This window comes from Homo sapiens, chromosome 6 (assembly GCF_000001405.40).
Source record: "Homo sapiens chromosome 6, GRCh38.p14 Primary Assembly".
NCBI classification, from domain to species: Eukaryota; Metazoa; Chordata; class Mammalia; order Primates; family Hominidae; genus Homo; species Homo sapiens.
This window is the reverse complement of record NC_000006.12, coordinates 91627893-91649950: the sequence shown is the minus strand read 5'-3', so window position 1 is coordinate 91649950 and position 22058 is coordinate 91627893. Positions and strand designations below refer to the sequence as shown.

Genomic DNA, 22058 nt, shown 5'->3' with positions numbered 1-22058 from the left:
AAATCATGCCACTGCACTCCAGCCTGGGCAACAGAGAGAGACTGTCTCAAAAAAAAAAAAAAATTCTGAATCTTTATGATTAAAGAAATAAAATCAAAACCCTGGATTTATATGAGACGTCTTAGATTTCAATAAAATAATAAAAGCACCAGAATCTAAAAATACATCTATGTCTTAAGGTATTGATAACAATAGAAATTCACCAATATCTATGAGAAACTACGGTCAGTGTTACAGCTGCTTAATAATATTTCCAGGACTCTTTCCATTCTGGGCATCCTTCCCCTTGTAGTCAAGACTGGTCATGGAACTTGCTTTGTTTATTTAAATGATAGAAAAAAAGTTAATATTTCAGCCTGAAATATTTAATTGTCAGTGTTGAATCTCTAACTCTTTTCTCCCCTTTGATGTTGATTGTGGAAGAGGGCTAGTATTGAGATACTGGGGACGAAAGATTGTAGGGGTCCCCGTCAACTTTTGAGGGTTGCCACTCTGGACTCACAGAGGACTTTGAGTGATGAAAACCACACTTTTATACATATACATAAAGTGAGATATAAACATCCCTATATATGTTTATGATTATATATATCTAGATCATAGAGTCTTATGAATCGGAAACTGAGTAAAAAAGTTAGCAATCCAGCAGTATGTGTTCCATGTTCTAATGCATGAAATGCCCTGTATATAAGCATCTTTTCAAGTCTTGGTTTCACCACTTGCTAGCTATATGAACTTGAGCAAGTTTATAAATCTCTCTGTGCTTCATCGTTACATTGGAACAAACAGCTAAGGATAATTTCTACTTCCTTGAGTTGAAATAAGGATCAAATGAGATGATTCATGCAACATGCTTAAATGCAACTGTCATAGTACATGTTTGATACAGCTCTGGTTATTATTACTAATACTATGATTAGGGGCATGATAGCCATGCAATGTTCTCAGGCTAACCAAATCTGTGCAAATGAAAGATGATTTATAATGGTGTTTTCTGTAACAATGTATTTAGAACAGTTACTAAAAATGGTGACTGAGAATTATTGTTTGCGAAGAAAAGAAGCCTACTCAAACTAGCATAAATAAGAGAGGTTATTATAATTCTCACAGGCATCTAAGCTCGAGAAACACAATACAGCAGAGCCCAGGGTTTACTTAACACAAATCCTTCAGCACCCAACAGCTCCCCTCATTTGGCTTCTCCCTACATCTGCTTCATTCTCCTCATTCTCCTAACCAGTCTCTTTTCTTCCTCCTCTTGCACATGGTCCAACATTACCACCAATTACAATTCCTTACCAGGAGTTTCAAATTCAAACACCCACCACTGCCTCTCCAAATTATTTATGTTTTCAAAAGATATCTGGTCAATTTTGGTTATCCAATAGATTGAGGCACACATTGGGTTTAATGAGCCACAACCTGGGTAAAGCGTAGCATAAGAGTGCTGCTTCTAGAAGCTATGGAAAAAAAAAAAAAAAAAAAAGTAATAGAACTTTCTAAAACAGAAAGAAATAAAATAAGTGTTTTTAACCTTGAAGTTTTTTTAAGCTCTATTTTATATCTAGCCATTTTGATTAGCTATGTTCTCATAAATCTTGTTTATATGTATTGTAAGTTTCAAAAGAATGTGCAGCAGGTCTTCTTTTCCTATTTTATATATATTGGTATCATCCTTATTGACTTTACTTAATGAAAAATTGCCTTCTCAGTGTCATCAGTATTGATCTTGATGAGGGCGAAAGTGGCTGTTAACTCTCAAAATCATCAGAAAATATTTAGTCATTTCCATTGATTCTATGAGAAATAGATGAAGTGTTCATTTCCTTTCCTGCAGTGATAACACTTAACTCCACAAATGGAAAAAATCTGTATCTTCATGATTAAAGAAATAAAATCAAAACCCTGGATTTATATGAGACGTCTTAGATTTCAATAAAATAATAAAAGCACCAGAATCTAAAAATACATCTTTGTCTTAAGGTATTGATAACAATAGAAATCCACCAATATCTATGAGAAACTATGGTCAGTGTTACAGCTGCTTAACAGTATTTCCAGGACTCTTTCCATTCTGGGCATCCCTCCCCCAGTAGTCAGCGCTGGTCATGGCACTTGTTTGTTTATTTAAATGATAGAAAAAAAAGTGAATACTTCAACCTGAAGTATTTAATTGCCAGAGTTGAATCTCTAACTCTTTCCTCCCCTTTGATGTTGATTGTGGAAGAGGGCTTGTATTGAGATATTGGGGACGAAAGACTGTAGGGGCCCCCGTCAACTTTTGAGGGTTGCCGCTCTGGACTCACAGAGGACTTTGAGTGAAGAAAAACCACACTTTTATTTTGTTAAGCCACCGAGATTTTGGGGCGAGGGTTGTTTGTTACCACAACTTGATCAAACCCATCCTGAAAGATTGGCCCAGCTATAATATATCAATGTTTGTTCTCTCTCCTATTAAAAATAAACTCCTGCAAGGTGAAAAAAAAGTTCCTCACAGAACCTTCTCTATATCAAAATGTGGCTAACTTTGGTCCACATGGATGATTGGAAATGAAAGAAAACCAGAATTAATGACAAAATTTAGCTAAAACTTTTACTGCCTTGCTAAAAATTAATCTTTTCTCAAAGGTAATAAGCCAAGGGTCAGCAGAATGGACAATTACTGTTATACATTTTCAGCCCATCATTTCTAACAGTTTGTGGGACAAAAGGAAAGGAACAAAAGGACAAAAGGAAAATGGTTAAAAAGAAACTCAATGATATAAAATTAGTCAATATTATGTTTAAATAATTTTCAAAGGATATATTGAGAAAAAAGGATTAAGAGGAAATATAAAAATGTTAAAGAGAAATTATATTATAGGAGAAAAACATAGGGTTATTTTTCTCATTATTCTAATTTACCTATTTTTAATAATTTGGTTATACTAGCTCCTTCCTTCCTTCCTTTCTTCCTTCCTTCCTTCCTTTTACTTTTTTTTTTTTTTTTTTGGCTAAAATTACACACACTTATTAGCTTAGTTTGTGTCAGGAATCTGGGCACAACTTAGCTGAATCCTGTGCCTCAGGGTCTCATAAAGATTCCAAGTGTCAGCTGGTACTGTGTTTCATCTGAGGCTTGACTGGGGAATGATCTGCTTACAAACTCACGTGGCTGTTGGCACATCAGTTTCCCCAGGGCTGTTGAACTCTGGGCCTCAGCTCCTTGCAGGCTGCTGGCCAGAGGCTGACCTCAGTTCCTAGAGGCCTCCATCATTTTTTTTCTAGATATGTCCTATTTGTCCCTAGAGATCCAGTTTCCAATAGCTGTATGCTCCAGGAGGCTGACTTCTATGGAGTGTGTCAACTGCATTCCTTCACCTTCTAACTTCTGGTTGGGGTTGTCCAGTGGGAGACACTGGCAGGAAAGTAAAGAAGGAGGAGATTGAGTCTGTGTTTCTATTCCACTGGTTCCTTCTCTGCCTGGCCTTGGGTTGGATGCTTTTTTTTTTTTTTTTTTTTTTTTAGCAAAGGTCACAGCATTTTTGCTCCAGCTGCCTTCAGCTCCAGCTATTGTCTCTGGATTCTGGTCACTGCTTCCTCCCTTTGCCACTTATATAGAATAATGGTAATGGATCCCCCAGTTTATTGGCCCTAGAAGGTTTCACCGTCACTACTTGTTTCCCTTAATCTTCTGGTATCTTTGAAAACATGTCTTTATTACAAGCTTTCTGTTTACCTAATTTTACTCTGCCATCTGCTTGTCCATGACCCTGACATAACCACCTTTAAGAAAAATATCCTGACCTTAACCTACTTTGCAATAGCATCAACCATTTCTTCCTATCATTTTTGCCCCAATGCTTTTTAGTGTGGGAAAATACGTGTACCTTAAAATTTACTATCTTAACCATTGTTAAATGTATATTTTAGTAGTGTTAAATACATTCCTATTATTGTGCAATCTTCATCAACATCCATATCCAAAACTTGTTTTATCTTGCAAAACTGAAACTCTATATCCATTAAAAAATAACTTTCCATTTCCCCTCCCCACAGGTCCTGGCAGCCATCATTTCTGCCTCCATGATTTAAGCTACTCCGAGTACTTCATATGTGGAATCATACAGTATTTTTATTTTTGAGACTGGCTTATTTCACTTAACATAGTGTCTTCCAGATTCATCCATGTTGTAGCATGTGTCAAAATTTTCTTCCTTTGTAAGGCGAGTATTCTCTTGTACATACATTTTGCTTATCTGTTAGCATCAGATTTTGCTTATCTGTTCATCTCTTGATGACCACTTGGGTCGCTTCCATGTTTAAACCATTGTGAATAATACTGCTATGAACTAGGGTGTACAAATATTGCTTCAAGACTCTGATTTCACTTTTTGGGGGTACACACCTAGAAATGGAATTGTTGGATCTTATGGTAATTCTATTTTTAATTTGTTGAAGAACCATCATACTCTTTTCCACAGAAGCTGTACCATTTTACATGCTCACCAACAGTGCACAAGGTTTCCAATTGTTCCACATTCTTGCCACTTGTTATTTTCTATTTTTATGATAGTAGCCATCCTAATAAGTATGAGGTGATATCTCATAATAATTTTATTTTCATTTCCTTGTTGATTATTGATGTTGAATATCTTTTCATATGCTTATTGGTCATTTGTATATCTTCTTTGGAGAAATGTCTGTTAAAGTTCTTTGCCCATTTTTGAAGCATGTTGTTTGTTTCTGTTGAGTTTTAGCAGTTTTTGTATATTATGAATATTAATCCTTTATCACAGATACGATTTGCAAATATTCTTTCATTCTGTGGGTTGCCTTTTTACTCTGTTTATATTTTCTTTTGGTGCATAATCATTAAAAATTCTTATAAAGTCCAATATGTATATTTTTTATTCTGTTTTCTGTCCTTTAGCGTCATATGCAAAAAATCATAGCCAAATCCAATGTTGTGAAGCTTTTGCCCTAACTTTTTTCTAAGAATGTTATAGCTTTAGGCCTTACATTTATATCTTTGGTCCACTTTTAGTTAATTTTTATATATGGTATTAGGTAAGTGTCAAACTTCGTATTTCACATGTAGATACCCAGTTATTGCTGCACCATCCCTTGAAAATACTTAGTTCCATTAAATGTTCTTGGCACCCTTGTCAAAAAGTATTTAACCATATATTTGAGGATTTGTTTCTGGGCTATTTATTCTATTCCATTAGTCCATGTATTGTTCTTTATGCTAGTGCCACACTCTTGACTAATGTAGCTTTGTAAGTTTTGAAATCAGGAAAGATAAGTCCTACATCTCTGTTCTTTCTCAGCATTGTTTTGAGTATTCAGGGTCCCTTAAGATGCCATATGAGTTTTACAATAAGTTTTTCGATTTCTGCAAAAAAACAATGTTGGGATTTTGATAGGTATTGCATTAGATCTGTAAATCACTTTGGATAGTATTGACATCTTAACGATATTAAGTCCTCCAAGTCATAAACTTGGAATATCTTTTCATTTATTGATGTCTTCTTTAGTATCTTTTAACAATACTTTGTAGTTTTAATCAGACAAGGCTTTTACCCCCTTGGTTACATTAATTCCTAACTATTAATTCCTAACTATCTTTTTGATGCTCTTGTAAATGGAGTTCTTTTCTTAATTTCCTTTTTGGATTGATCATTGGGAAGAATACAACTGATTTTGTGCATGTTGACTTTATGTCTTGCTACTTTGCAAGTTTTTTATTTCAAACATTTTTTGTAGAATTTTTCAAGATTTTCTACTTATAAATCATGTCACCTATGAAAAGAAATAATTTTACTTTTTCCTTCCCAATTTGAATGCCTTTATTTCTTTTTATTGCCTAATTGCTCTGACTAGAACTTCCAATATACTATGTTGAATAGAAGTGGTAAAAGTGGGTAACCTTGCCTTGCTCCTGATCTTAGAAAAAATCCATTTCATCTTTAAGCATTGAATATGATGTTTGCTGTGGGTTTTTCATATATTACTTTTATTATGTTGAGATAGTTTTCTTATATTTCTAGTTGATTTTTTTTTAATCACGAAATGGGGTTAGATCAAATGCTTTTTTCCTGCATTATTTGAAATAATATGTTTTTTCCTCTCTTCATTCTGTTAATATAGTGTATTACATCAATTGATTTTTGTACGTGAGAATATCCTTGCATTCCAGGAATATATCTCACCTAGCTATGGTGTATAATTTTCTTAATATACTGATGAATTTGGTTTGCTATTATTTTGTTGAGGATTTTTCATCATGTTTGTGAGGGACATTGGCCTGTAATTTTCTTTTCTTGTAATGTTTTTATCTGACATTGATATGAGGTTAATGCTGGCATCATAAAATGAGTTTGAAGGTGTTCCCTCCTCTACAATTTTTTGGGAAAAGTTTAAGAAGGATTGATGTTAATTCTTTAAAGGCTTGATAGGATTCACCAGAAGTGATCAGGTCCAGGGCTTTTCTTTGTTTGGAGATTTTTTATTAGTGATTCAGTCTCCTTACATGCTATAGGTCTACTCAAATTTATCATTTCTTCATAATTTAGTCTTCCTAAGGTTTGTGCTTTTAGGAATTTGTACATTTTCTCTAGGGTAGCCAATTTACTGACTTATAATTTATCTCCAACTTTTAAATAGCTGTCTATTTCTCCCTTAAATTTTGTCTACTTTTGCTTCATATATCCTAAAGATCTGATATTAGCTGCATAAATTTTTATAATTATTATATATTCTTGCTGTACTCAGCCTTTTGTGAATACATAATGTTCTTTTTGTCTTTTGTAATTTTTTTTACTTAAACTCTACTTTGATATTAGTAGAGCTGTCTCACTCTCTTTTGGAGACAATCTGTATGCAATATCATTTTATACCTTTTTGCTTTACATCTATTTGTATTTTGACTCAAAAAGTGTATCTCTCATAGATACACATAGTTGCATCATGTACTTTTTTCCATTTTGCCAGTCTCTGTCATTTGAGTGGGGAATTTAATCCATTAACTATTAAAGGGATTACTAATACAAAAGAACTTGTTTCTCTCATTTACTACTTATTTTCTATATGCCTTCTAGATTTTGTTCCTCATTTCCTGCATAACTATCTTTTTCTGTGTTTGGTTAAATTTTTTGGCAGTGAAACATTTAATTTAAATTTTTTTCTCATTTATTTTGCTGTGTATACTTTTTACCTATTTTCCTCGTAGTAACCATGGGCATTACACTTAACATGCTAAAGTTATTACACTCTAATTTGAATTTTTACCAGTTTAACCACAATAATATACAAAACTCTGCTCCTCCAAGAACTCCATCTCCATTTCCTTTAGTTGTTGGTATCACAAAATTATATCTTTATAGCTTATGTGCCCCAAAACATGAATTAAAAATTTTTAATGCATTAATTTATTAATTTATGTATAAAGCAAATTGTGGAGTTATAAAACGAAGTTGCGACAATACTAGCTTTTAGGCAGATAAAGGTTTTTTTAAAAAACTATATTAGTTTCTTAAATCATGATAAAAAATGTTGAGTTATACACTATTGTTACAATACTACTAGCTTCATAATTGTCCACTTATTTACCTTTACAGAGATCTTTATTTCTTCATACATCTTGAAGTTCTTTCTAGTGTTCTTTCATTTCAACCTGTAGGAGTTTCTTTAGTATTTCTTGTAGAGCAGTGTAATTGGAACAAACTCCTTAAGCTTTTGTTTATCCTGCAATTCTCCCTCATTTTTAAAGAACAGTTTTACTGTTCTTTAGCACTTACAATATATTGGCCAACTACCTTTTGGACTACAAAGTTTCAGAGGAGAAATCTGATGAGAATGACATTGAGGATTTCTTGCAATGTGACAAATTACTTCTTTCTTGCTGCTTTCAAAATGCTCTTTTTGTCTTTGGCTTTCAACAGATTGTTGATAATGTGTCTTGGTGGCACTCTTTGAGCTTATCCTACTTATTGTTTGTTAAGCTTGTTGGCTGTTTTTATTCATGTCTTTTATAAAATTTGGGAAGTTTGGGGGCAATATTTTTTAAAATAGTTTCTTCTCATCTTTTCCTCTCTGTTCTTCTTGTGGGAGTACCGTATGCATATATTGGCTCACTTAATGGTGTTCTACAAGTCCCCCTGACTGGTTAGTTTTCCGCAATTTCCTTTCTTTCTCTTGCTAAGTCTCGATAATTTTCATTATCTTGTTTTTAAGTTCACTAATTCTTCTCCCTGCTCAAATCTGAAGTTTTCAGTTCTAAAATTTCTCTTTAGTATTTTTAGGTTTTCTATTTCTTTATTGATATTGCTATTTTGTTGATATATTCTTGACTTTTTCCACATATTTCTTTTGTTCTTTTAGCATATTTAAGACAATTGTTTTAAAGTCTTTGTCTAGTAGATCTGTCATCAGGTTTTTTCAGGGTCAGTTTCTGTTGGATTATTATTTGTTTTTCTCTTTAAACGGTTCATACTTTGCTGTTTCTTGTTTTATTTTGTAATTTTTTTATTGAAAACTGAACATTTGAATCCAATAATCTGTTAACTGTGGAGATCAGATTTTCCCCCTTCCTAGGGTTTGCTGTTTTTTGTTTCTTGGATTTTTGTTTTTGGTTTTGTTTTTTTGTTCCTGTTTATTTGATTATCATAGGCTTTCTCTGTGCCAAGCACTAGCTCGAGATGTAAACAGGTCTTCTCAAGTCTTTTGTGAGCCTGCCCCCTCCCCAGGCATGTGCAGTAGTTTTCTAATCTCCCTGTATATGCCGTCACCTTTGATTTTCCTAATATTCAGTGTCTAGCTGTTGAAAAAGGAAAAAGAGAAAAATAAAGGAGAAAAAAAATATGTTAGCCTTTTAAATCTCCTAGAAATCAGTTCAACCAGACAGGGAGGGACTGGCAAGAATAGGGGGAGGTGCAACAATGATGCCTGTTACCTATTTGCTTCTGTGTGATCAGAAGCAGCTGTCAGTGATCAGATCACAGATTTCAGATATTATGAAGACAGTGTCCCTTTTTCCCACCCCTTGCTCCTATAACCTGTGTGCAAGCTGCTTCAGGAACACATTAGTAGCTACTTGCCAAGTGTCTGAGGGGTGGAAGATGGTTAAGTACTACTGTTTTAATACCTAAAAATGTCCAAAATTAGCCACTATTTACTGTTGAAGTCCTCCCCTGAAACTTCTCTTGAAGTAGCAAGCCTTCAATAGACTCTGGAGTTCCAAAATAGTTACATCAGACAGATTCTTTGAGTTCAATTTTTGTCTAGGTGTACAGACAGATTCCTAATACTATCTACTCCACTATCTTCCCAGAAACCTGATATTACTTTTTAAATGAATAGGTACAACTAATTACATAAAAAGACTATAGAGAGAATGAAGGTAAGTCAAATAACACAAAGAAAAAAACATTAATCTGGAATGTCTAATAGTTGACCACCTCAAAATAAAACTCCCACTAAATGTTGACATGTTAACACACCAGATATTTGAAAAATTAGGCTATATTTTAGGTCTGTTAATATACTTTCTATTGTGATAAAGGGTAAAACAGTCCTTTTATTGGCCTTTCAAAAAACTTCACTCCAAAGTGAATGATAATTAAAGTGCAACCTTTCGGGTAATAACAATATCTACATAAACCTTCCAATTCACATAATTTGTATAATTCGTACCCACACTGAAGAATGTGTTTTATTTGATGGTGGCAAGGATCACTAGAAAATGAAAATTACCAGCATCTTAGGCTGTATTTTCAACTTAGATTATAAGATTTACTGTATGCCATCTGATTTTTAAATATTTTTTCCCCCAAAGTAATTGGTTTGGGTCTGGGATTTTTGAACTGCCATCACCCTTTGTAAAATTAGAAAAGTTGGAAAAATTGAAATGAAAGAATAATGGGATGCTCAGTCTTTCTTGTGGACTAATGTTCTTAGACAAATAATCCTCTCATCATTATTTGCTCACCTGACTCCCTAAATGAATCATTTTTATTCCAGGGTAGCAATCTGGCTCTGTTCTTTTTGAAGATCTGAATAAAGGTGCACTTTCCTTTAATTTTACTCTTAATTTATTTTCAAACATATTTCAAAATTTTGATAGTTGTTTAATACCTGTATTAGGCTGTTCTTGAATGGCTATAAAGAAATATCTGAGACTGGGTAATTTCTAAAGAAAAGAGGTTTAATTAGCTCATGGTTCTGCAGGCTATACAGGAAGCATGATGCTGGCATCTGCTCAGCTTCTAGGGAGGCCCCAGAAAGCTTAAAATCATGGTGGAAAGTGAAGGGGGTGCAGCCATGTCACTTGGCAAAAGCAGGAGCAAGAGAGAGAGAAAATGTGGGGGAAAGTGTCATACACTTTTAAATGACCAGATCTAGTATGAACTCAGAGACAGAGCTCACTTATCACCAAGGGGATGGCCCAAACCATTCATGAGGGTCTGTCCCCATGATCCAAACACCTCCCATCAGGTCCCATCTTCAACAATGGGGATTACATTTCAACATGAGATTTGGGCAGGGACACATATCTAAACTATATCAATATCACTGGCATCACTGTAAGCTTGAGGCATATTTTTTTAATCCATCTGGGAGAGAAAAATTTTGGCTTAAAACCATGAAAATACAAAATATAGAAAACATTTTTGGGGTAAAAGACATATATTTTATTTGTTGCTTTTGTTGTTGTTGTTTTGAGACGGATTCTCACTCTGTCGCTAAGCTGGAGTACTGTAGCACAATCTCGGCTCACAGAAACCTCTGCCTCCTGGGTTCAAGCAATTCTCCTGTCTCAGCCTCCCGAGTAGCTGGGATTACAGGCACGCACCAACACACCCAGCTAATTTTTGTATTTTTAGTAGAGATGGGGTTTTGCCATGTTAGCCAGGATGCTCTTGACCTCCTGACCTCGTGATCTGCCCCCCTTGGCCTCCCAAAGTGCTGGGATTACAGGCATAAGCCACCGCGCCCAGATGAAAGATATATGTTTTAATGTCTCACTTTATTGTCAAAACATTGACACCAGAGATTTAAATAAAATATGACATAGTTTCTAGAACCCTCAGCTTAAGGCAACAATAGGAGGATTAAAACCTCCCATTAGGACAGAGGGTAAGTATGGATGAGTGAAACTATGGATCAGCCTCAGTCTTCTGAGTAAAAAGCTTAAGAAGAAGCCATGTTCCTAGGGTTAGGAGGAAATAGGATCAGAGCCTATTTTAGCCAGGGACAGCATAAGGGAGCTCTAGTATTACTGTCAGGAGTCCTGTCAGGGAGAAATTAGTGTTGGTTGATCCCTAGGAAGATTAGGGATCAGTAAATACCAACCAGTGGTATTTACTGAAGAGTTAGTTGTAAGGCAAGAATCCAGTCCCTCTGAGATTATGTTTAATGTAGAATGTAAGTCACAAGAGAACTAGAGAAGAAATCTTTCTTCCTTCCTTTTCTCTTTCCCCTCTTTTCTTCCTTCCTTCCTTTAGCTATCCATTCATACAAATTTTTCAGCAAACAAATGTTGAATATCTATGGTATTGGCACCCACATTGAGTTCTCAAATTTATAACACACATTTCCTACTGCTTATCTTCATCAGCGCTTCTCTGTCTGTAATTCTGGGGTACCCCTCATTCTGCCTCCAGGATCAGTAGGCATCTGAGGGGGTGGTGTGGCAATGATTCTCACTCTTTTTATCACCTGGTTTTTGAATCCCTTTTCTTGTTTGGGAAATTCCACACTTTATGTGTTGCAAAGGAGTAGAGATAACAGGAGTGTAATTTCTTCAGCTTTCCTTGCAGCTTAGACACATGCAAGTGATGCAAGAATGGGTAACATAAGGCATCAGCAACTGATATTCAGTCTTGGGGGAATCAGCAGTGAAGGGTGGTGTTTGGTCCCAGCAACATAAAAACATGAGAGCCTTCACAGAACTGTGAGGTGAGAAATATGAGACAAATTCCTGCTTCTCTAGTCCCCTCCAAGAGATTCTGAATTACCCATTATCTAGTAATAAACAGTTTTTACTTAGCCAGACCTGGTTTCTGATGCTTGCAACTAAGAGCTCAGAATCAGTTCTAAAATTCACCTGAAGTTCAAAACTCAACTCAATATTGTCTGAGTGAAATGTAGATAATAAGCTGCTCCAGAGGAGGCAACATTAACTAATAAGTGTAGCTTAACTGATAGAGAGTGAGTAGAGATAGGGACTTCCAGAGCAGATACCATTTAGAAATATAATTAACAAGGCTGGCAACTTCAATAATAATACAACAGCCATTAAACTCTAACTTCGGTGATAATGGCTGTGCTACTGTGTGTACATTAGCTCATTGTTTCTAAAGCCATCTCAGCCCATTTGCTAAAATTAAAATTTCCCAGGCTTTAATCCAGACCCATTCTATCAGAATTTGAAAGAAGCTGTTGAGGTATCTGTACTTCTTCTAAGCATTCCAGGTAATTCAAATATTCAGGAAAATGTTAGAAACAGTGTATTATTTGTTTAAACATCACACAAATCTGCAAATATCATGACTTGCATTTTACAGTTGAGGACACAGCTTCAGTGAAATTACTAATTCAGAAACACAAATAACTGAGTGGAAAATGCACACTATGGAGTCAAGTTTGTCTGAATCTGATTTTTCTCCTTATTATGTCATAATAAATCTAATCAAAGACTTTTGATAAATTCTTAAAAAAAAAAACCAGAAAGACACGGGTTCAACCTCAGCTCTACAATTACTACCTGTATAATAGAAAGCTATTTAACTTTCAGAGCTTCAGTCTCCCCATTTGGAAATAAAGCATTATAATAGGTAATTCTCTGGTGTATTACCTGAAATAAAATTTCTAAAATACAGTGCATGTTTCTTCCATCTCTCTTCCACTCTTTACTCAAGTTTACATTCTGTAATTTCAAGGAAGAGTATGTTAGTCATTTACTAAACCCATCTTTCTCCCTCTTGTGTGCACAGATAGACTACATTTCTCAGCCTCTACTTGCTATGGCCAGGCTCCTGAGTTCTGGCAGATTCCTGGCCTGACCCTAAGTACTCACTGACTCTTTCTTTTCTCTTCATATCCAGTCATTGAATGCAGAGAAGAGTGGAGCCAAAGCTGGAAAGAGCCAGGTCCCTGAATATGACTACACTGAGTAATGGTTAGACTACACATCAGTAAGACAGTCGCTATTGTGTTACACTATTGAGATATTTATACCTATATATTACCCAGTTAACATGATTAATACAGAGAGAAAATGCAAGTTCGTATATGTTACATAATTTTAAAATTTTGTTTGGTTAATTGTGCTTAAGATTGCAATTTGATCAAACATACAATAACTAAAATTATTTGGGGTCTCCTGCTACCATGGCCAAAGGCACTACCCTGTAAATTCAGCTCTATTGAAGATGTGGACCCATCTTAGCATGAGAAACAGAAAATTTATGGGTCACTTCCTATGGGTTCAGAAACAGTCTCATTGTTACTCTTGCAATAACTTAATACTACACTTCCTGGATCTTGGAACTACTCTTCACAACTCAAACTTCTGAATTGGATCTTTATTAGCTTCTGTAGGGCCTTTTCATCATAACCTCCCCCACTACTTCTATCTATTACCTATTCTTGCTTTGTTAAAGATATTGGGGCCAGCCTGCTGGTTACCAAGGACCTAGATGTAGTCTTCTGTTGTGATATTTATTACCCATCTGTCCTTGAGTCCTCTTATTTCTTCTAGTTTGAAAACATCTCTTTCCTCAGTATCACATGTGGGCTCTGGTTTCAGCCACTTGCTGAACATTCAAATGCCTGTAGTCCCAACAGAGACACTAAGTACCCGTTTCCATAAGCATGAGCCAATGGAGGAAGTTGCTAGTCTAACAAACTGGCAAATGGGGGCACCCACCTTCTGGTCCCAAGCTTCCTGTTTACCTAGGAACCTGGTTCCCCAACTCCTATGTCTGGGACTCTGCCGCATTCCGGACTCTAGATTTTTTAGAAACAAAAGGCATACTCCTGAGCTCCAGTCTTGGACACTAGATTGCCTCAATTTATTTATTTTTATTTGTTTCCCTGATCAAAATTCCTCGCTTTTGCCACCTGATCACATTTTGAAATCTAGTTATAATTTCCTAGGTCCCAGCTGGTGAATATCCAGGTAAAGATTCTGACCTTGCCTTCTGGAAGCTAATACTCTAATTGGGAAGAAAAGTTATAAATGCATATAAACCCACTAAGCAGAGTGATATGAAGGTAATCACAGAGAGTCTGACATGATAGAACAAGCCTTCTGGATTGGTCTGATAAGCACTGGGACACCATTGTAAGTAAGTACTGGAGAAGCCAAGGACCATGTGAAACAATGTCGTTTGCATATCTTGAATAAAACTGACAATGAATAATGTAGTTTATAAAATATACCTTTTTGGTAGATTACATGCACTGTTTATTATAATGATTCCAGATAATCTAAATGTTCTGACTAGGATATTTCTCAACTGGCTGACACCACTCCTTTCTAGCTCCTTACAAATGCTTTGCTGAGGCCTTGGTAGTGGTAGAAGTGGTGATGGGGGGCGGGGGGCGGGGGTGTGCAGGACAGGGAGTGTGACTTCTTTCCAAACATCAAGTCCCTAGAACATATAGATTTTTTTCCCTGATTTTCACTTTATCTGTGTTTCTAAGGTCACTCTATCTGCTTAAGTAGCACAACATTGAGAATAGGTTTAAAATTCAAGCAAATAAGACCCTGTTAAAGCATTGCAATGTGTAGACTCTGACACATTAGAAGTCCCAGTCTGATGAAAGGGAGTCTCTTTCAATATCCTCTTCATTAATCTTCTTTCAGTCTTCCCTCTTTCAGTGGCCTGTTCCCTACCTCTGACTCTTAGGAATGGTGCATGCTATGTGACTCACCTCTTATCACAGCCAGATCCTGCGAACCAGGAGTCAAAAGAAGCCCCAGTACTTTAGCTCAAACTGTTTTTAGCTTCTGCCACTCAAACCATTCTTACTGACATCCTCTACAATCTGCACCTAAATAATCTCAAAGCACTCCTCTCCATCCTGATGGGAGCTTCTGACTTTTAACTCTCTAAAAGGCCTTTAACTCACTTAAAATTTGCTCCATCTTTCTCACTCTGTCTTTTACCAAGATCACTTACCAGCAGGGATCAAATTCTACGACCATTCTCAGCCACATGAAATTCAAATTATCATTGGGCTTTTGTTTCTTCTGAGATAAGCCCTAGCATAACTACCACTTTGTTCAGCAATTTAATTAGAGATCAAGACCTATATCCAGATGCAAATGATTTTAGGAAGAATTTTTTTTGGTCATAGTCTAGTTCTATTTATTAAGTGTTGAAATCCATACATAGCACCCCCCCATACCCTCAAACATTAAAGTTAAGTATCACTGCAGTTATGTAAGATTTGCCAGTAATAGATGTCATCTTTCTACTTAATACTATGCAAATCTGAATCAGATAAGTTTGGAATTTCCCTAGAATACAGGAGATATAACAAGAATTGAGGAGAACTCTTTAACCTTAACTTTAGTGGTAAGAAAAAGTACTTAAATGTTCAGATGTGTAAAACTGCCTCAAAATAACCTTTTATGTTCCTGCTCTCTGCAGAAATATTTCCTAAAGCTTAGTAGAGCTAGGTAGAAATGGGCTCTGGATTAATTTTGACCTTCTGTGGCAATGCATTTCCAAGACCAAGAATTTATGTGTGCAGAATATTAAATGTCAAATGCAAATATGAAAATGGAGCTACACAGTTGCTGATAGTCCCTAATTGATATTGAGCAGACTATTCCCTTTAAATGTTAATGAAACTGTTGTAATTACTAAATGACCAAAACAGCTCAGAAGCCAGGGTTCACAGCTGTAAACCATTACTTGTAAATTACTGGCACAGGCCCGCATTAGCAGATGGCTCAGCCCATGGAAGAAAACTTTCTCAAGATGCTTTTCTTCCAGGCCTGGGCTCAGGAGCAAATTAGATGAGCATATTAGAGAGGGCCAGAGTGCCTGTTTGGACATGTCAGTGGAGATAAGCACCTCCTTTGATCTTCTTTTTTTTTTTCATTACATTCTTTACAGAAAGTGCTGAATATCACAGAACACAAAGAAAAGAGAAAGAGAAACTGACAGAGCCTATAAATGTTGCACGAAGGTTCAGATACATACAGTTCTGCTGGCTTTTTAAGGAGCAGTGTTTCCTATATCCTAAGGCAGATGGACATGTTGGGATGGAGGTAAATACTGAAAGTGGAGAGGTATGTGTGTGTGCGTGTGTGTGCGTGCGTGTGTGCGTGCATGCATGCGTATATGTGTGTGTGTGTGTGAGAGAAAGAGTGAGAGAGAGAGAGAGAGAAAGGGAAAAGAAAGAGATGGTGATAACAAGCCAGTGGCAGAAAAGCAATTAGAAGAAAAATAGGGCATTTGAATGGGCTTAGTAGCCTCAAGACAGAGAACGTCTATAAAGCTGTGTAAGCAAAACTATGCAGTAGAAGCAAGAGATGTCTTTATTAGAGAAGGCCTGTGGCTCTTCACAGCTTTGTTCTGTAAATTCCATACCAGCTTTGCAAACTCTCTAAGGTTATTAACTTTAGTGAAGATTTTTTTAAAGAGTTGGGTGCAGCCTAACCTTTCATTAATATAAACGAAAGATTAATTAAGACATCTGCCAAGAACAGGAAGAAAGAGGAGTTTCTCTCGTGATGTACACTACAACCTGTCCTAAACATGAAACAATGGAGTTTTCCTTGCCAGGAGCCACTCTGTAGAGAAGATGTTTAAAGGATAAAGTGTTTACAATCAAACCAGAGAGTACAGGGAATACCCACCTTCTGAACAGTTTGAATCCCAAAGTGATGCAGAAAGCATTTGTTAGTATTTCAAAATGTATCTTCATAGAAAAAAATATGATATCTGTTTCTACATTTAGAGAAAATATCAAATAAATCTAAGTAATCTCACTTTATGGTAGCAGAAAGGACAAAGTGTAGAGATATAGGTTGTGGGCTGGGATATGGGTCAGACTCACTGTGAAATAATCAGATATAAAAAATTGAAACATAATTTGAGAATTTTGTCAAGATAATGCATAATGCTTGATTTTCCAGGATATTTATGTTTTATGTCTAAAAACCTATAAGACCAGAATAATCAGTGTTAAAATTGACCCATAAAATCAGGAATGAATTATTAAAGTGCTAATAGAATGTCTTGAGTCTGGATCCTAGGCTTAGGAGGAACTGCAATGCAAGAAAAAGCATGATAAAGAGACTTGAATTCTTCTCTCTGGGCCCAGAACCTGTTTGTGCAATATTTTGAGTTACTTGATATTGGTCTTTAGTATTCTACCACTTTCCTGTCTTTCTTCATGAACGTCATTCACAGGGACCATGGAAACAATTTATTCCCAATGCCTTGTCTGCCAGTGCCTCTGACCTTCCATCCAGTCTTGCTCAACGTGATCATCTCTTTCTTTTTTCCTTCCCAACTTCCTTTCTTTTCTCAGGGGAGATGATCTTCAGATAGGTTTTAGAAGAATGCAAGCAAGCGTGTAAGCAATTTAATCTAATTCATAATGAGAGCTGGTCAGTCAATTCTTAACTCTTCCAGACATGGAAAGTATTTTTTGAAGTGAGTTATTATGCAGGTGTGGTGGTGTAGCCTGCAGAGAATTGCGTTCATAAACCTGGCCCTGACACTTCCTACACATGTGATCCTAAGCACGTTACTCAACTTATCTTCATGCCTCAGCTTCATCGTCTATAAATTGAGGTAATATTAGTATCTTCCCACAGGATTAATTTGAAGAGTATGAAATACTAAATATACTCTCTGACGGACATTAAGAGCTTAATAAATGCAATCCAAATGATTTTTGAATTGGCCAATTTTAGATAGCTTTACGCAGTGAAAGTAAGAGTCTCAGTCATGAAAAAGAATATTTTCCATCAGGAAAACTAATAAAAAGTAACTCATTTCCTGGTTTTGATAATTCAGTTATGCAAAAAGTTACCATTGTGGAAGCTGGGTTACGGGTAAATGAAACATTTCTGTATTATTTTTGCAACTTCTTGCATGTCTATGGGAAAATAAAAACTACAAAATAATAAATCAACACAGTCCTCTTTTGTCTCAAAGCCAAATTCATCAAGTTATTTTTGATATTGATAGTTATTTTTCTCTTTTGCTCTTGAACCATGAATTTTTGAAAGCCCTCAGATTTTTTGTGGCAATTTCCATGTCCATAGCTATAATACAAAGAGTGGTTCCAAAGAAGGTGTGTGTATGTGTGTGTGCGTGCATGTGTGTGTGTGTGTGTGTGTGTGGGCATGTACACATGCATGCATGTGCATGCTGAAGAAAAAGTCATATTGCATATTTGATTGTATTGATGTGAAAGGGATAACCATCTGTTTTTATTTTAATGTGTCATTTCTAGAGGTACTTGGGAAAAGGGAGGTTATCATGGTATGCTCTCAGAATCTGAATGACTGTAACTTACGATGTTTTGACAGTTAGCATAATGCAAGCGTGAAAGTGTGCTTGGATATTTTGAGATCATGGACCTTTCTGAGACTTTAAAGAAAGCTACAGACTCTTCCCAAGGAAGTGTGTTAAAACAAATTCAAGCAAATAATAAGCACAATTCATTTTTATTTGCTAGTAACTGTAATAGACATGGGAATGACACAATATGAGACATATGATAATAAATAAGGTAAATCTTGTCCCCTCCAAGTGAGAGATGGTACAGTAAAGAGATATTATAATCCAACATGACTGGTGCTATTTCCTGGGAGGACAGTGTGCTCTCACATAAGAGGAGCATCTAACACATGCTTGAAAGAATCAAGAAAGGCTTTCTAGAGAAAATGGCTCTAAGTTAAGGCTTGAAGCAAAAGTATAGGCATTGACCAGTTGATGAAGGAGGAGTTTAATTTGAAAATAAGTAATAGATCATTTGAAGATGTGGTTGCAGGAGAAAGCTCAGAAAAGCTAGAATATGGCATATGATGAAGACAGGAATAATAGATGAAATTGGAAAGGAGAACAAGGGCCTCATTCAGGACCTTGTAAGCCACATTAAAATATAATCTATTGAAGAGCACTGGAGAGTCTTTGCAGGATTTTAAGTAGAGTTAGATTTGCATTCTAGAAAGCTCACTTTGAGTGCTGTGGAATATGGACTAGAGAAGCAAAACTGAATGAGAGAAAGCAGCAATATGCCAATTGTGGCAACACGGAAAAAGATGACTGTGTCTTGTATTCTTGGCAAGGAACATAAAGAGAAGTGATTGAATTTGTAAGACTTTTGTAAGAGGTAGAATAGATATGATTTTTATTTGAATGTAAGAAGGATGAGAGAGGAAAATTGGAAGTTACTCTAAGATGCCTATGCTACGCCACTGGATAGCTAATGGTGCCACTCATTCAGATACGTACCAGAGAAGAAAGAAAAGTTTAAAAAGAAATAAATTTAAAAGTCTTGGGTTTGTTGAACGTTAATTTCTATAGGCCATCCAAATATCCGGTAGGACATTAAGATATGCAGCTCTGCTATTTACAATAGCAATGACATGGAATCAACCCAATGCCTATCAATAATAGATTGGATAAATAAAATGTGGTACATATACAACATGGAATACTATGTAGCCATAAAAAGTAATGAGACCATGTCCTTTGCAGGGACATGGATGGAGCTGGAAGCCATTATCCTCGGAAAATTAACACAGGAACAGAAAACCAAACACTGCATGTTTGTGGGAGCTGAACAATGAGAACACATGGACCCAGGGAGGGGAACAACACACACTGGAGCCTGTTGGCGGTAGTGGGGGTATGAGGGAAGGAAGAGCATCAGAAAAAAATAACTAATGTATACTGGGCTTAATACCTAGGTGATTGGTTGATAGGTGCAGCAAACCACCATGGCACACATTTACCTATGTAACAAGCCTGTTGCACATGTATCCCGGAATGTAAAATAAAATAAAATAAAATAAATAGTACCCCAAATGCAGTGCAGGACTCTGGATTCAATTCTGGAACAGAGAAAGGACATTTGTGGGAAAAAAAGGGGTGCAATCTAGGGTCTTTATATATAGATAATGGTACTGTATCAATGTGAATTTCTTAGTTTTGACTAATGCACTATGGTTATGTAAGATATTAGCATTATGGGATGCTGGTCAAGGCCAGATGGTGACTTTCTGCACTCTTTGTAATGTTTTTGTAAATCTAAAATGATTCCAGAATAAAAGGTGTATTTAAGAAATGGGGGAAAAAGATAAGCAGCTCTGGGCCTTGGAGAGAGATACAAAAATTAGTAGCAATTGAAAATAATTGAAGCCTCACCAGTAAATAAGACAATACAGAAAGAGTGACAGAACCTTCATGAATTCATGAGAATAAATGCTAAATTGCCGTAACTTAAAGACCCTGTAATACCTTGACTCAGAGGACAAAGAAGTTTCATTTTTTCTTCCTTAACAGTCCCAATGTGAAGAGACTCAGCTGGTAGGATAGCTCAACTCTACTTAGGCTTTTAGGGACAGTTATGTTTGGGTGATCTGCAATCCCATAGGTGTCATCGCTAGCCTGGTTAAAACTAGAGTACTGCCTTCTTTGTATTCTTGTCATTTGTGCCAATCAATTGTAACTGGAGAGAGAGAATAAAAAAGAGTGTATCTACAGGTGCATATTAGTTCACAGGTTTGGTGGTAGAAGTTAAGGAAACTTCCCTCTGTGAAGGAACAAAATCAAAGTCATCTGTTTGCGATCAAGAGGGGCATGGCAGGGTTATACAAATGTGCAAAGAAGTTTGGATTGTCTCCAAGCTTCCATGGATAATGAGAAATAAAGCTTTCTGGAAAAAGTGAATGGTCCAGACTGCTGTTCATTCTGGAGTGCCTAGCTAAGTTTATAAATCATATCTTTATACCTGTTGTACCAAACTATTCAATTGAAAAGTGGTAAAGATATAACATGGAAAAAAAATCTTTACAAAGATTTATGTCTTTCTTGCTCTAATCTATTTATACATATAGTTAAAAGCCCATTACTAAAAAAATTAAAATAGATCAAAATTCTGTAGATATGACAAAGTAAATTCTGCCCCAAAGAAAATGTCAGCAAAAAGCTATATTCAGCTTTTAAAAACCATATGCATGTTATCCTTAACATCTCATTTCGATTTTGTGTGGTTTATGTGGCTTCATGTACTAATAATCTCACTTACAAAGAAATGTAAGTGGAATCAATATTTTCACAAATGGTTTTGCCAGGTGTGTTATTCAGGGTTTTCTATAGAGAAAGAACTGATAGTATATATGTAGATAAAGATATATGATAGGGAATTAATTAGGGGAATTAGCCCTCATGGAGGCTGAGAAGCCCCATGACAGGCCATCTGAGATCTGGAAACCCTGGGATATTGGTAGTATGGCTCAGTCCAAGTCCCAGAGCCTCAGAACCAGGGAAACAGATGGTGTAATTCTCAGTCCCAGGCTGAAAGCCTGAGAACCTGGGGGCTGTTGGTACAAGTTCCATCATCCAAAGGAGCTTGGCATTCTGATATCTAAGGGCAGAAGAAGAAGGGTTTCCCACTTTCAGGACAGAGGGAGAGAGAGAAAGGGAATTCTCCTTTTCTCTGCCTTTTTGTTGTATTTGGGCTGATTGGATGGTGCCCACCCACACTGAGGGCAGATCTTCCCCAACTCAGTCTACAGACTCAATGCCATTATCCCATAGAGACACCCTCACAGACACACCCAGATATAATGATTTGACAGCTATCTAAGTATCCCTTAAACAGTCACCTTAACACCTAAAAGTAGCAATCACACCATGTACATTGTCATATACCTTGTCAAGTAACAATTGAATTATCTGGAACTCCTTGACTTGAAATCCTGACATGGCAAGTCCTTTGTTCTGAAGTCATTGAGGTCAAAGTCTACCACAGTGTTGTTCTCTTCATCAGCAACAAGAGGATCCCAGAAAATAATCACAACTCCAGATTTC

The 22058-nt window shown here is 36.2% G+C and overlaps 1 long non-coding RNA gene across 1 annotated transcript in view; it reads left to right on the top strand.

Annotated features, from left to right (window-relative positions):
* The window catches only part of CASC6 (cancer susceptibility 6), a 61389-nt gene extending 40478 nt beyond the window's left edge, over positions 1 to 20911 (top strand). The window contains exons 3-4 of the long non-coding RNA NR_104154.1: positions 16116 to 16270; positions 19722 to 20911. This is a non-coding gene — a long non-coding RNA (cancer susceptibility 6). The remainder of the gene's footprint in view (positions 1 to 16115; positions 16271 to 19721) is intronic.
* The last annotated feature ends 1147 nt before the right edge of the window (positions 20912 to 22058 follow it).